Genomic DNA, 16,707 nt, shown 5'->3' with positions numbered 1-16,707 from the left:
TTTTACTTTGTATCAGGATAATTCTGTTTATTCTCTTTACTTACATTTAAAAAATTTTTTTTCCATAGGTTTTTGGGGAAACAGGTGGTATTTGGTTACATGAGTAAGTTCTTTAGTGGTGATTTGTGAGATTTTGGTGCACCCATCACCTAAGCAGTATACACTGAATCCAGTTTGTAGCCTTTTATCCCTCACCCCCCTCCCATCCTTTCCTCCGAGTTCTCAAAGTTTCTCGTATCATTCTTATGCTTTTGCATTCTCATAGCTTAGCTCCCACTTATGAGTGAGAACTTGTGATGTTTGGTTTTCCATTTCTGAGTTACTTCACTTAGAATAATAGTCTCCAATTCCATCAAGGTTACAGTGAATGCCATTAATTTGTTCCTTTTTATGCCTGAGTAGTATTCCATCATATATATATATATATATATATATATATATATATATATATATATATATATATATAAATAATCTCCCACAATTTCTTTATCCACTCATTGATAGATGGGCATTTGGGCTGCTTCTATAGTTTTGCAATTATGAATTGTGCTGCTATAAATGTGTGTGCAAGTATCTTTTTTTTGTGTAACAACTTCTTTTCCTCTGGGTAGATACCCAGTAGTGGGATTGCTGGATCAAATGGTAGTTCTACTTTTAGTTCTTTTAGGAATATCCACACTGTTTTCCATAGTGGTTGTACTAGTTTAGATTCCCACCAGCAGTGCAGAGGTGTTCCCTTTTCACTGCATCCACGCCAACATCTATTATTTTTAAATTTTTTATTATGGGTATTTTTGCAGGAGTAAGGTGGTATCACATTGTGGTTTTGATTTTAATTTCTCTGATCATTAGTGATGTTGAGCAGTTTTTCATATGTTTCTTGGCCATTTGTAAATAAAATACTTAGGAATATACCTAACCAAGGAGGTGAAAGACCTGTAAAGGAAAACTATAAAACACTGCTGAGTGAAATCATAGATGACACAAACAAATAGAAACACATCCCATGCTCATGGATGCGTAGAATCAATATTGTGAAAATGACCATACTGCCAAAAATAACCTATAAATTCAATGCAATTTCCATCAAAATGCCACCATCATTCACAGAACTAGAAAAAACAATTCTAAAATTCATATGGAACCAAAAAAGAGCCTGCATAGCCAAAAGCAAGACCAAGCAAAAAGAACAAATCTGGAGGCATCACATTACCCAACTTCAAACTATACTACAAGGCCAGAGTCACAAAAACAGCAAGGTACTGGTATAAAAATAGACACATAGACCAATGGAACAGAGAACACAGGAATAAACCCAAATAATTACAGCCAACTGATCTTCAACAAAGCAAACCAAAACATAAAGTGGGGAAAGGACACCCTATTCAACAAATGGTGCTGGTATAATTGGCAAGCCACATGTAGGAGAATGAAACTGGATTCTCATCTCTCACCTTATACAAAAATCAACTCAAAATGGGTCAAGGACTTAAAATATAAGACCTGAAACTATAAAAATTCTGGAAGATAACATCGGACAAACCCTTCTAGACATTGGCTTAGGCAAAGACTTCATGTCCAAGAACCCAAAAGGAATTGCAACAAAAAAAAGATAAATAGGTGGGACTTAATTAAATGAAAGAGCTTCTGTACAGCAAAAGCAACAATCAGCAATGTAAACAGACAGCCCACAGAGTGGGAGAAAATCTTGACTCTCTATACATCCGATAAAGGACTAATATCTAGAATCTACAAGGAACTCAAATGAGGAAGAAAAAACAAACAATCCCATCAAAAATTGGGCTAAGGACATGAATGGACAATTACTATACCATACTTTTAATTGTTATTTTAGTATATAATCCTTCTGCTTATTAAAAATAGTTATTTGTAAAACAGCCTCAGGCAGGTCCTTCAGGAGGTATTCCAGAAGAAGGCATTATTATCATAAGAGATATTATGTGTTATTGCCCCCAAAGAGTTCCAGTGGGACAAAATGTGAAAGTGGAAGACAGTGATATTGATTATTCTCACTCTGTGTAGGCCTAGGCTGATGTGGGTATTTGTGTGGTAGTTTTTAAACAAAAAGTTTCAAAAGTAAAATAAAAATACTTAAAAATAGACGAAAACTTATAGAATAAGGATGTAAAGAAGGAAAACTTTTTTTACAGCTATACCAATATGTTTGTGATTTAAGTGTTATTTTAAGAGTCAAAACTTAAAATATTAAAAGGCTTATAAATTTAAAAAGTAACTATAATAGATTAATTTATTAATGAATAAAAAATACTTTTTAAAATATAGTATATCCTAAGGATATAGTGTTTTTAAAGTCTACAGCAGTGTATAGTAATATCCTAAGCCTTCACTTCATTCACTCACCACTCACTGACTCACTCATAGCAATTTCTAGTCCTGCAATCTCTCTTCATGGCAAGCATCTTATACAGGTGTACAATGAAAAAATATTCTATGCTGTATATTTACTGTACCTTTTTAGTTTAGATATGTTTAGACATACAAATACTATGGTGTTACAATTACCTACAGTATTCATGCTGTACACATCTGTAGTCTTGGAGCAATAGGCTGTGCCATATAGTCTAGGTGTGTAGTAGGCAAAACCATCTAGGTTTTTGGAAGTGTACTCTGTGATGTTCACACAACAATGAAATTGCCTGACAATGCATTTCTCAGAAAATATTGTTGTTAAGCAACATATATATATATAGATAGATATATGAATATGTATACATATATGAATTCAAATAGTATATAAATATATGTTACTTAACATGTAATATATTTAAATATATTCAAATAGTGTATATATATGTTAATAGTTCTATTTCTCTGAGGAAACTTAATACAACGAAGTAAAAGCAAGATATGATGTCATTGGAATGGAAAGAGACCATGTCAGTATGTGAGATGAATAGAATTATGATAAGATGGAATTTAAATATTTGAACATTATATAGCGTCTAACATAGGAATCGTCTTGCCCTGCCAGAAGGAGGTTATAGGTGACCAGAGAGCTCTCTTTCATCTCCAGTGACGATGGTTCCCAAGCTTCCATGATAAGTGCTAGTCTCAGACTGGGAGTGGGAGGTCTGTGAACATTTTATCAGGGCAGAAACCATCTCTTTTTTGATAACTCCCATTGGTGATAGGAAACTTTAATACCATTACAGCTGAGGGAGACTTTTGTTCATCCGTGGGATAAATGTTAGCTTTAATAATCTGTCTTGAACAGTGTTACAGAGGCCAAAGGAGGGCAGCATATGCCCAAAGCCAAGCTGAGATTAGCACTGTGATTCTACTGAAAGAATGCTGGAGACCAAGTCCCAAAAGGAGATCGTGACTGATGTTAAACGAGAACAAATTACTACTATTTCCATATATAAGGCCTGTCTCTGAGACTAAAAAAAAAAAAAAGGAAAAGAAAGCAATTCAGGCTACTTTTACTACAACTAAAGTTGATGATGGTGTTTATTTGTTTGATAATTATGAAAATATGGTTATATTCCATAGAGGTGCTAGGTAAACAAAATGAGAAGAGAATAGTGTAAGAATAAAAGCAAATGCAAACCAGTTCAGCAGTTTTATATTTTCCTCTGCCTGTGGCTTTTCCACTAAATAAGAAAAACTGAGAGAAGCGAAGACATATGTCTAGTGAAACTTTCCATCTTTTAGAGAGAGCCCATATTGTATGGATAGAATTTGTAGTGCTCTTCAATTTCTAAACGTCACGAAGGCAAAATGAGAGAAAAGTGAACAGAATTTTGAGAGTGAGTGGGAAGAATTCAGCTTTAGGCATTATCAGGCATCATGTAAGTATCACATTTTCATCATATGAGAAAACTTGAACAATTCAGAAAAAAATCATATAGTCTGAAAAAGTAGATGTCTAATGAACATCTTATAACTCTATTGATATACTTGTAAAATAAAGCTGAGAATACATGTAGTATGAGCCTCAGAATAATAATACAGATAGAACAGAGAAAGCAGAACAAGATATATTTGGTTGAAACTTTTTTTTTTTTTTTGAGATGGAGTCTCGCTCTGTTGCCCAGGCTGGAGTGCAGTGGTGCGATCCTGGCTCACTGGAACTCTGCCTCCTGGGTTCAAGCGATTGTCCTGCCTCAGCCTCCTGAGTAGCTGGGACCACAGGTGCCACCTCCTGCCCGGTATTTTTAGTAGAGACACGATTTTTGGTATTTTTAGTAGAGACACGATTTCACCATGTTAGCTAGGATGGTCTCGATCTCCTGACCTTGTGATCTGCCTGCCTCAAGTTTGAAACTTTTAATAAAACATATTTTTGTAATTTTCAGATTCATTTTGTGGTACTATTTTAAATACCAAATCATCTGATTTATTCTACTACTTTGATTTTGTCTGGGTAGAAAGTCTTTGGATGTTCATTAGCCATTCTTTCTAGTGCATTGATTTGCAATATTCTTCCTATTGTCATTGCTTTTATTTACAAAATAGCATATTCTCTTATTATATCATAACCTTGTGTTTTGAGGCATCTCAGATAATATATCATACTGTCTTATATGCTATTGTACAGTACCACAGGGTGAATACATTAAATAAATATATAAAGCTAAAATATTGCTATGATTGATTTAAAATACTTTAAAAAGCTTTGGTTCTAAAAGCTTTAGTATATGGTTATGTAACATCAAAACATAAATATTTTATTGATTCCAAATTGACAAAACTAGAATTTCACAGTTGCCTACAACTTTAAGGTACATTTTAATCCACTCACTGAATTACCCTTGTAGGCATATGAGCTATGGTTTGTAGTTTGTAGGGTTTCAATTATGGTGAAGGTAATTACATTGCTGAAATAAACTCTCATTCTCTGGATAATTACATCTGGAATAAAAAGAAAATATCAAAAACTTGGGTTCCCCTAAAGAAAAATATCAAAACCTTGGGTTCCCCTGGAGATCAACTTTTCTTAGTATTTTGTTATTCTGGCCTCATGATGGCACCAAAGGGCAGGAAATAATTCTTTTTTGAATTCCAGTTTACTTCCCAAAGTGCAACAAAAATAAATACAATAAGCAAAAAGCAGCTGAATTAGAAAATCTTTCAAATAAGGAAGTTTGGGGTGGGGGGAGTTGGTCCACTTTTGGGGATGCCCTCCCTGGTATGGATTATTACCATTCAACTTTTCTATACACAATACACTTGCTCTAGCCTTTTTCTCAAATTATTTAGTCACCTCCCCAGTATCCTTTCTACTAAATTATGTCCTGTGTTGCAGAAAGGAAAAGGTGCTGATAAAAAATACTTTAAAAATAGTTTAATCTAATCATAACCATGAACTTCTGTTTTAATGGCTTTGAAAGACACAGGATTAGCAGATGGTTAATAACAAGACACTCATAAAAGGAAATAAGTAAAATATAGAAACAAAAGTTTTGTGAGGTGATACCTCACTCATTTTCTAATTTATTATAGAGTAGAAATTTAGAATATAATTTGGCACCATAATAAATCTTACTTAATATTAATGGCAGCGATCTCAGCTGTTGTCTTGTATTTTTCATTGGTAGACAAGACATAGTTAATGTGTGAGTTCAAATGAATATCCCTCTATGTATGAACCTAAATATGTCAAACGTCTGTACTAGGTTTCTGTTATACATTGCGAGAGAATCAAATAGATACTACATGTGTTCCTTTTTTCTTCAAAGGTGCTTGTAACCTAGTTTTAGTGAGAAAAGGTAAGTGCTTCTAAAAATAATTAACAATAAGTCAGTAACAATCTGAAGGCCTTAAATGTTAGTACATAAAATAGTACAAGATGGCTTTTGACTAAGAAAAAATCTTGAAATGCTGTATGATGGCCTTTTGGCCTCCTAAATGTAAAACAAAAAGACATTTTTACGATAAGTAAATTATGTTTGGCTACCCAGCTTTTATAACCTGCACTTGATTTCATCAATCTATGTAATATAAAAATTGCTACATTTATTGTTTCTTCAGTTTTCATAATCCTTTGGGTTGGTGCAAAGATCACCAAAATAATTTATAACACACCTTCTCCTCTGTTCTTTCTAGCTGGGACCATCTCATAATGTTTGTGTACATTCCTGTTGTCTTCTACCTCCCATCCACCGTGTCTCTCTACTGCCTATAACCAGCCTACATAAGGTAAGGCCTTTATCTGCTTCTTCAATGACCCAGGTGAGCTTACTCAAGTAATATTCTCTGTCTTTATGAAATGGGCATTGTCCTTCCCTTTTGTGCTCTTGCATCACCATAGTAAAAAGATAATCCATTACTAAAACTTGTAAACAACAGAATTGTTCTTTGCTGTTGGCTTCTTATTAAATATTGGGTTTGTCAATTTATATATTCTCTCTCCCTTATGATGTTTCAGATACTTGAGGTTAGGCAAGAGGGTACAGTTGCCTACAATTTTAAGGTACACTTTATTCTACTCAATGAACTACCTAGGCAGACATATGAACTATGATTTGTAGGCTGAGAACTAAAACCTCCACCTGATTCCCAACCCCCGAAGTTGAGTCATAGTTGAGGTTTGTCCCTCAACTAACTTTTCTCTTTAAAGGAAATTCCTTCTTAATTGAGTACAGTGCCTGGGTGGCTAAAAGATGGGCTTTGCGCCTCAATAGCTTGAATATTTATTTTTGGGGGGTTGTATTGGTTAGCCTTTAAATGACCATATCCATGAGGCTTATTGGTCTTCTCTTTAAAAAGCAATTATTAGTGGAACCAGCTTGCCAGACAACCAGAAATGCCTAGATAGATGGGCAGATGGAGAGAGAGAGAGAGAGAGAGAGAGAAAGAGAGGAGAGAGTGATTGATTGATTCTTAGAGAGCTCACATAGCCTAGACTCTCACTCTGAGTTTTTGTTTCATTGGAAATAATCTATAGTTTCAGATGATAGTAAAGTAACACAACAAAGAGAAAGTTTACAAACAGAGATAAAAATGATATTCCTCTTTTAAGTTCACTGTTATTTTAATAAGAAATGTTTAAAAGAAAAGTCTGAAGCCTTGTTTGCAGTGGACTTTTCCCGCTGACTTTTGGTACAGGCACTGAGCTATGCTCTTGCCATCTATTCATTTCATTACATGTTTTTAACAAATATATTTCAAATTCAAAGCCCTCTTTTAGGAGATGTTGGAGACACAATTCATGAATTAACAGTGATAGAAGTGTGATTGCATTTGACTGAACTGCAGAGCAAGCAATGCATTTAACACTAGACATTAAAAAGGCACATGGAAAGAAGGCGGAGTATCTGTTAGTCTAGAATCCTTGGAAATTTTCCAAGGATTCACCCAGAACAGAGACCAGGACTTTGAATGACCTTTTTCTGCTCATCTGCTTTAAATCATTTCCATTGTCTTCAGCACACTTCTAATAATGACACTGATTCAAGAAATTTCTAAACCTATAGAAGGCTAATGTAGATAAGATATGAGTCCTGTAATTTTATTATAATTACTTTTATCTGTATCAGCTTCTGGAAATGGAAAGTTTTGCCTGTATTTCATTAAAATTAAGTTACATGATTTAAAAAATTGATGATAGATATGGTTCTTAAAATTCACTTGAGTAGGTTTTCATCCATTGTGGGCAAAATCATAACATAGATTTTGAAATTTGAAGATGTAATACTTTAATATTATTAGTCAAATTGGTGCCCATCTCTAGAGGAAGAAACCACGGAAGAGACCAAAGAAGAAAGAAGTTAACCACTTACACCTGTTTGAAGTCTGATGCTAGACTAAAATCTAGGACTTCCAGACTATTTTTGAGCATTTTTTGTTTAAGTTTCGTTTTTGTCTACATTTTTTTCCTTAGAAAAGTAAAGTCAACATATGTTTGCTAGATAAAGAGGAGGGTATCCTAAGTTCAGAGACATAAAGTCTAATTTTGTGTGACACAAAGTATATGAATTATTTTTTCTTCTTAAATTTATCTTCTTCAAAGATGTAAAGTGTTAAGATATTTTGGGTTTCTTATTATTTAGCAGTCTTTATTATTATCTGTTACAAAAGTGAAAAAATAGCATAATTTTAATGAATCTATAGCAAATAATAAATCTATAATAAATAATAAATCTATAATTATTAATAATTTATTGATGTATTTTAATTAAAAACCAGAATAAATATTGTTTTACTTCAATTCTCCAGGATATTTATGTAAGCAAAGTAAGTTTATATAAAAATGCACATATATGCATATGTGTATGTGTATATATATATATATAGTGCACACAAAAATACATATTTACATATGCATCTACTATTACTATATATATAACTTCCATTATTAATCTAATATTCATAAAGTAGTTACAGTGCTAATATTTCTAAGTTCCTCAGAAGAATATCTGGCATACAATAAGCATTACATGTTTCCATTTAGCTATGATGATGTAGTCGATAATCTAACTAAATTTTAGATCCATAAAGAAAAGTAAAAAACATAGTTTTATTTTACTTTAAAAATAAAACTTTGTGTACAATACAAAAGGATAAAAATCTCTATTATGGCTTCAACATTTCTGAAAGCATTATATCTCTACCAGTCAGTAAATAATAAGTGCTAAATGAGTGGTGTGGAAAATAAGTCTTGTGGAAGTTTAAAAGAAGGAAAGATTGCTTCCAGATGAAACAGTCAGGGAACGCTTTACAAGAGTCAGGATTTAAGCTGTATTTTGAAAAATGGGCAGGATTTAGATTTGGAGAAGCAGAGTAGGGAGGACTGTGTTGAGAGGTTTTATAATATGAGTAAAATGTAAAAGCAGAGCTAAGTTTTCAGTTTTCTCTGCCTTGGGTTTGATGAAATAAGATTAATATATTTAAGTATGAAGTCAAGAGGGAAATGTCCTTTCTCTCTTTCATTGACTTTTGAACTCTCTTCCACTATCACTATAATTTTTTTTTTTTTTTTTTTTTTTTTGAGACGGAGTCTCGCTCTGTCGCCCAGGCCGGACTGCGGACTGCAGTGGCGCAATCTCGGCTCACTGCAAGCTCCGCTTCCCGGGTTCACGCCATTCTCCTGCCTCAGCCTCCCGAGTAGCTGGGACTACAGGCGCCCGCCACCGCGCCCGGCTAATTTTTTTGTATTTTTAGTAGAGACGGGGTTTCACCTTGTTAGCCAGGATGGTCTCGATCTCCTGACCTCATGATCCACCCGCCTCGGCCTCCCAAAGTGCTGGGATTACAGGCGTGAGCCACCGCGCCCGGCCTATAATTTTTTAAAAATAAGTGTCCCTGGACAATATCTTTTCTATTATATTTTATTGGATAATGATATAATCACATCTGTTGCTTGGAAAATAAAATATTTCCATAATTATGATACTATGTTATATTTACAATGTGAAATAAAAGCAAGTGAGTGTGTGTTGTGTTGTGTTGGTGTGGTATGGTGTGTGGTGTGTGTCATTCTATGAAAACTGGGTTTCTCTAATTCATAAAGAAACCAGACAGCTATATTTCTTTTTTTCTTTTTTCTTTTTTTTTCATCAGAGTAGGAAGAAAGGCATTTTCTCTTCTCAAGCAAAATACCGATTGAAATATAGCTGGGCATTGGAAGTTGCAGAGCATACCATGTCTAATAAACTTCATGGAAATCTGGTCACAAGAGGTGGTTCTGGATATAGTTGTTTCCTCAGAAAAAAAAGCTCTGTTCTTGATCTTCCAACAGCCATGTCACCTATATCTTCTTAACTGGCAAGGGACACATTCTTGCATACTCTTCTATGTGCTGGCTAATGAAAGTTCTTTGGCAATTTAATCATTAGTAAGACATATTATGAAAGAATCTTCGGAAAATGAAATTACAAGTGAGTATCTGTTGGGGGAAAAAAAGAGAATACTTTAAATACATATCCAAGCTGAAAATAAATGATTTTGGGATTTTCTGCTGTTTAGGATTATCTGCACCAATGAGCCCCTCTATTCCTTCTTGTAACCAAATGTTGACTTAGTTTGTCTGCTAGAAGTCTACTCCAGCTGCAAAGAGATGAAGTAATGATGGTAGATTCAAGTTAATTGTCAATATAAATCCCTGACTCAGTTATGTATACATATAAAAGTATTTTATTTCCTGTTTTATTTGGTAAAAGTTTTTATGAAACATACTAAGGTAAATTTTAGGTTAACATATAAAAATAATTCTTTATCAAATACCAAATATGGTGAAAATTATCTGCATTTCATTTTCTCTAAATAATGTAGCCTCATCTGTTAATCTACACCAGTTCAATCTGTAATATTTATTACACCCTTTTTGTGAGTAAAATATCCTATGATCACATCACCTTAGGAGTTACTTAGTTGTGATTAAAGCCTAGAATTTCAGCTGGACAAGCCCACAATGTTTGTGGCTCCACTTTGCACCTTAAAACTTGCATTTGCACCTGCAAAAGGCTGAAATGAATAATAAGTCAGCACATGTGTATTCCATTATTCATTTTTTTTTATGAGCAGATGTGGGTGATGTGGGCAAAGAGCTAGATGCATCTTTAATTGAGAAAATCTGTGGAAAAGTTATCCTTAAATCTCTCCTAGGGAATTGACTTAGAACACTATGCACCATGATTTGGAAACTACGAATCAGACCCAAATGTTGACCAGACAACCCAAGCTTGAACACAGGCTGTCGAAAGTGAATATTGCAGACATTAATCCTCAGATTTTTTTTCTTTCAAATTTCTCTATGAATAATACTGTGCCCACTAGTTGTTTTTTTTTTTAATGTTCACTCTAAAATGATACAAACCATCAGGAATAAAGACATAAAACCCAGTGAAATTTATTTGGAGAAAAATAAATTGGATCCCAAACTTATTTTTTCATGCTGTATTTACACAGAAAGAATCTCAAGTTGTGCAATTTAGTTTTTTTTAATTTACATTTAACTGTTGTCTTTGAATATTTAGTCTATAGAATTAACTTGTCAAGTTCCTACTGTTGAGGAGTGAAGGTAAGAGTGAACAAGACACAGACTTTGAAATAAATAAAAGTGAACTCTGTAAGGTTTGGCTATTCTAGAGCTTATACTAATAATATAGCTCTTAGTTAAATCAAAATTTCTGTTTTTAACATAAAGTTGAAAATTAGATTGTTCTATGAAAACAAATGTTAAGACAAAACAATTAAAAATAACTATAGCTACAGTAATTTGTTAATGGTAACACAGTATAAAAAGATGTAAATTGTAATGCCAATAGAATAAAATATTGGGAGAGGAAAAGTTAAAGTTTCCAAAGTTTTAAAATATGGTTGACATTAAGTTGGTATCAGCTTAAAACAGACAGACTTTTATAGCTACAAGATGTTTTGCTTAAGCCCCATTATAACCACAAAAAAGACTTGTAGTAGATACACAAAATTTAAGGGAAAAGGAATAAAAGAATACTTTTATAAAAATTATCAAATCACAAAAGAAGATAGCAAGAGAAAAAGAAACTACAAAATAGTTGGAAAATAATGAATAAATGGCAGTACATCCTTATCCATCAATAATTACTTAAAATGTAAATGGATTATTCAAATGACATAGAGTGGTTGAACGGATTAAAAAAATGAGATCCAACTATATGCCACCTACAAGAGACTCACTTTAGGTTTAAAGGCACACATAGGTTGAATGTGAAGGCACTAGAAAAGATATTCAATTAAATGGTAATCAAAAGAGAATGGGCAGGCTGGATTTATATCATACGAAATAGAGTTTAAGTCAAAAACTATCACAAGAGACAAGGTCATTAATAATGATAAAGGGATCAATTCATCAAAAGGCTATAACAGTTGTAAATATATATGTACCCAATATCAGAGCACCTAAATGCATAAAGCAAATATTGCCAGAACTGAAGGTTGAAAGAGGTAGCAATACAATAACCATAGGGAACTTTAATACCCCACTTTCGACAATATATCGATCATCCAGGGAAAAATAATCAATCAGAAAATATCAGACTTGAATGACAGTAGAGACCAAATGGACCTAATAGACATATATAGAACATATATATAGAATATATATATATTTGAAGCTGTCACAGAACATTCTCTAGAATACATGATATGTTAAGCCACAAAAAAACTCTTAATAAATTCAAGAAAATTAAAATCATATCAAGTATCTTTTCTGATCATGATGGTATGGATCTAGAAATTGATAAAGGTGGAAAATTAGAAAATTCACAAATATGTGGAAATTAAACAACACATTCTCAAACAGCCAATGAGTCAGAGAAGAAATCAAAAGGGAAATAAAACATATATTGAGACAAACTGCCAAAACTTATGAAATGCAGCAAAAGTAGTTCTAAGAGGAAAACTTATAGTGGTAGTTGTTTACATTAATTTGTTTTTGTTTTTGTTTTTAGAGACAGGATCTCACTTTGTTGCCCAGGCTGGAGTGCAGTGGTGCAATGATAGCTAACTATAACCTTGAATCCTTGGGCTCAGATGATCTTCCCAGCTTAGTCTCCCAAGTAGGTAGGACTACAGGCATGGAACACCATACCTACTATTTTATTTTATTTTTTGTAGAAATTGGGTTGCCCAGGCTAGTCTCGCACTCCTGGCCTCAAAGAATCTTTCTGTCTTGGCCTCTCAAAGTGCTGGATTTACAGGTGTGAGCCACTATGCCCAACCTCAAATCTTTCTTTACAGCTAACTTGACACCTCAGAAAAATAAAATAAGCAGAACAAACTAAGCACAAAGATAGACGAAGAAAGGAAATAATAAAGATTAGAACAGAAATAAATAAGGACTAGATTAGAACAGAAATAAATAAGGACTAGAAAAGATCAATAATACTAAGAGTTGGCTTTGTGAAAAGGTAAAGTTGACAAGACTGAATTATAAAGAAAGAGAAGTATGACCAGACTAATAACCAATAAGGAGATTTAATTAGGAGTCAAAAACCACCCAACAAAAAAATGCTCAGGACCTGAAGAATTCACAGGAGAATTCTTCCAAACAATTAAAGGAGAATTAATGCTGATGCTTGCCAAACTTTTTCAAAAAAATTGAAGAGCAGAGAATACTTTCAAACTCAATTTTATGAGGCCACCATTACCCTAATACCAAAACCAGACAAGAATACTGTGAGAAACAAAACTGACAGTCCGATATCTTTGATAAACATAGATCCAAAAGTCTGCAAGAAAATACCAGGAAACCAAATTCAACAGCAGATTTAAAAGATCAGCCATCATGGTCAAGTGAGACTGATGCCTGAAATGCAAGGATAGTTTAACATATGCAAGTCAATAAATGTGATATACCACATTAACAGAAAAATAAAAATTATATGATCATCTCAATAGATGCATAAGAAAATTTGAAAAATTCAACATGATTTCATTATAAAAATACTTAATAATGTATAGAACATAAATATAACCACATGCCTCAACATAATAAAGACCATATATGACAAGCTCACAGATCACATCATACTCAATGGTAAAAAGTTGAAACTTTTTTTCTAAGATCAGGAAGAAGAGAAGACGACAAGGGTGCTCATTCTTAACTTTTCTATTCAATATAGTATTGTAGGTTCCAGTCAGAAAATTAGTCAAGAAAAATAAATAAAATACATTCAAACTGAAAGGTAAAATTGTTTCTGTTTGCAGATATCATAAGGAGGAAAGCCTAAAACCCTACCAACAAACTGTTTGAACTAATTAATCAATGCAGTGAAGTTCCAGAGTACAAAAGCAGCATTCAAAAATCGGTAGAGTTTCAACACACTAACAACAAACTATACAAAGAAGAAGTTAAGAAAATAATACCATTTACGATAACATCAGAAGGAATAATATACTTAGGAATAAATTTAAGGAAGAAGGGGAAAGATCTGTACACTAAAAACCATAAAACATTGATGAAAGGAATTGGAAAAACACTAACATAAAGGTATTCCACGTTCATTGATTGGAAGAAATAATGTTATTAACATGTCCATACTACCTGAAGTGATTTATGGATTCAGTGTAATCCCTATCAAAATTATAATGTTATTTTTCATAGAAATACAATAAAGACTCTAAAATTCATATGGAAACATAAAAGACTCCAAATAGCCAAAGCTGTCTTGAGCAAAAGAACAAAGCTGGTTGTAGTACACTAACTGATATCAAAAGATACTATAAACCTATAGTAGTTAAAACAGCCTGATAATGGCATAGAAACAGCCACATAGACCAGTGGAACAGAATAGAATGCCCAGAAATAAATTCACACATTTATGATCAATTGATATTCAGTAAAAATGCTAGAAACACATAATGAAGAAAGGACAATCTCTTTCAAAATTAGGCTGGGAAAACTGGATATCTATATGCAGAAGATAAAATTAAATCTGTATCTCACATCAGGTATGATTAGTTTGACAAGGCTGCCATAACAAAGTACCACAAAGTGTGTGGCTTAAACAACAGACATTTATTATCTAATTGCTCAGGGGGCTGGAAGTCTGCAATGAAGTTTGCAGCAGCGTCACGCTTCCTCTGAAGGTGCTAGGAAAGGATCTGCTTTTAGGCTTTTCTCCTAGTTTCTGATAGTTCTTTGGTTTGTGGCAGCAGAACTCTAATCTTCACTCAGCATTCTCCCTGTGTGCATGTCTATCCCAGCATCCATGTTTTTTTCCTTTTATAAGGACACTAGTCATATCAGAATATAGCACACCCCAATTACTTCATTTTATCATCATCCCTCTCTAAAGACCCTATCTCTAAATACAGTCAAATTTGAGGACAAACTTGGGATTAGGACTCCAACATCTCTTTTCATGACACAAAATTCAACCCATAATAATGTACAAAAATCAATTCACAATAGATTAACTAAACGTAAGACCTAAACACTAAAATTACTAGATAAAACATAGAAAAAAAGTGTCGACATTGGTCTGGGCAATGATTTGTTGGGTGTGATCCCAAATGCACAAGCAAAAACAAATGAAAAAATAGACATATAGAATTGTGCCAAACAAAGAAGCTTCTGCACAGCAAAAGAAGACACAACCTATGAAATGGAAGAAAATACTTGCAAATCATACACCTGGCAAGGGGTTAATATCAAACAATATATGGAATTCAAACAATAGCAAGAAAGCAGAGAATCCAATTTAAAAAATGGACAAAGGAAATAAATAAACATTCCTCAAAAGAAGACACATGAATGTCCAACAATTATATGAAAAAATTATCAACATTACTAATGACCAGATAAATATGAATAAAAACCACAATAAGGTATCACCTGATACTTGTTAGAATGCCTATTATCAAAAAGTCAAAAGAAAACAAGTGTTGATGAGGATGTAGAGAAAAGGGAACATGTGCACACTGTTTTGGGACATGTAAATTGTTATAGCTATTATAAAAAATAGTGTGGAGGTTCCTCAAAAGTTAAAAATAGGAATACCATATGATCTAGCAATCTTCTGGTTATAAATCTAAAAGAATTGAAATGTATCTTGAAGAGATAATTGCACTCTCATGTTCATTGTAACATTATTCACAATAGCCAAGATATGAAATCAACATTAAGTGTTCATCAATGATGAATGGATAAAAACTTTATTTCTTTTGTACCATCATAAAGTCAAAAAGTCATAAGCAGAAGTATAAGTCAAGGACTGCCTGTATTCTAGAGAAAGATAGAAGTGTATTTTTTTTTCATGTCAACAAAGGGAGAAAGTTTATTGTGTTTTATAAATGCAATCTCCAAAAACTATCTTCCTACACAAATATATACACCAGAAATAGTTTTCTTTCTCTCTCTCTCTCTTTTTTTTTTAGAAGTGTAAATAAGATAGGGCACAAGGATGGAGAAAACTGCAAATTTTCAAGTGGTTTTAAGGAGGCAAAGGACAGCATCAACAGAACTTGTTGAGGGAAATGTTTGGGAGAATGAGTTGAAGTGGCTGAATTCTTGGCTTCCAACTTAAACATTTTGATAGATGATGGTGCAACTGATTGCAGTAGCAATAGCTCAAGTGTTATGTCCTCTTGGAGGCCTTCCCTGAGCCTGCTGCCTCCACACACGCCTTAACCCCCATGGAATTAAGAAGTACGTACCTGTTCTCTGGGTTTTTATAACACTCTGAGGATACCATGTTCATTCTAGTCATCATGTTGCATGGTTTTTCCCATTTGACTCAGGATCTTTGAAGTCTTCTTTTGCACCAATATCTCCAGAAGCTAACAGAATCAAAGGTTCATTTAAATATTTGTTGAATGAGTACAATCACTCATACAAGTGGTAAGGAAGAATAGGGATGAAGAAACACCAGAAAGTAATTTTTATGGCATATGTGCTACCTTGGGGGAAAAATAATTTAGAAATAAGGGGAGCATTTTATTTATTCTTTCTCATAAAGCATGAGATTTAGGAAAACAATTGAAAATTTGGGAAAAGATGACTGGCTACAAATATTATTTTAATAAACAAAAATGTGCTTCTTTGGGCCATGGTTTAAAATACTTCAAGAAGGAATCTTTTCCCGAGGGTGACTGCATCTTTTATATTTATCAAAATATTATGTTATGAAGACCCCTTCAATATGAAAATTCAGTGGCCAGTGGTGGGAGGGAGAAAAAAGACTTGGGTAAATCTACAAAATGTAATTTTTTTGAAAATATTAGGAATGATGTGATAAG

At 33.3% G+C, this 16,707-nt stretch overlaps 1 long non-coding RNA gene across 1 annotated transcript in view; it reads left to right on the top strand.

Moving 5' to 3' along the window:
* The window catches only part of LOC105375911 (uncharacterized), a 268,808-nt gene that overhangs the window by 228,941 nt on the left and 23,160 nt on the right, over nucleotides 1-16,707 (top strand). Inside the window, exon 3 of the long non-coding RNA XR_007060972.1 lies at nucleotides 6,091-6,183. This is a non-coding gene — a long non-coding RNA (uncharacterized LOC105375911). The remainder of the gene's footprint in view (nucleotides 1-6,090; nucleotides 6,184-16,707) is intronic.

This window comes from Homo sapiens, chromosome 8 (genome assembly GCF_000001405.40).
Source record: "Homo sapiens chromosome 8, GRCh38.p14 Primary Assembly".
Lineage (NCBI taxonomy): Eukaryota > Metazoa > Chordata > Mammalia > Primates > Hominidae > Homo > Homo sapiens.
The sequence above is the reverse complement of the archived record's forward strand: the minus strand, read 5'-3'. Positions and strand labels throughout refer to the sequence as shown.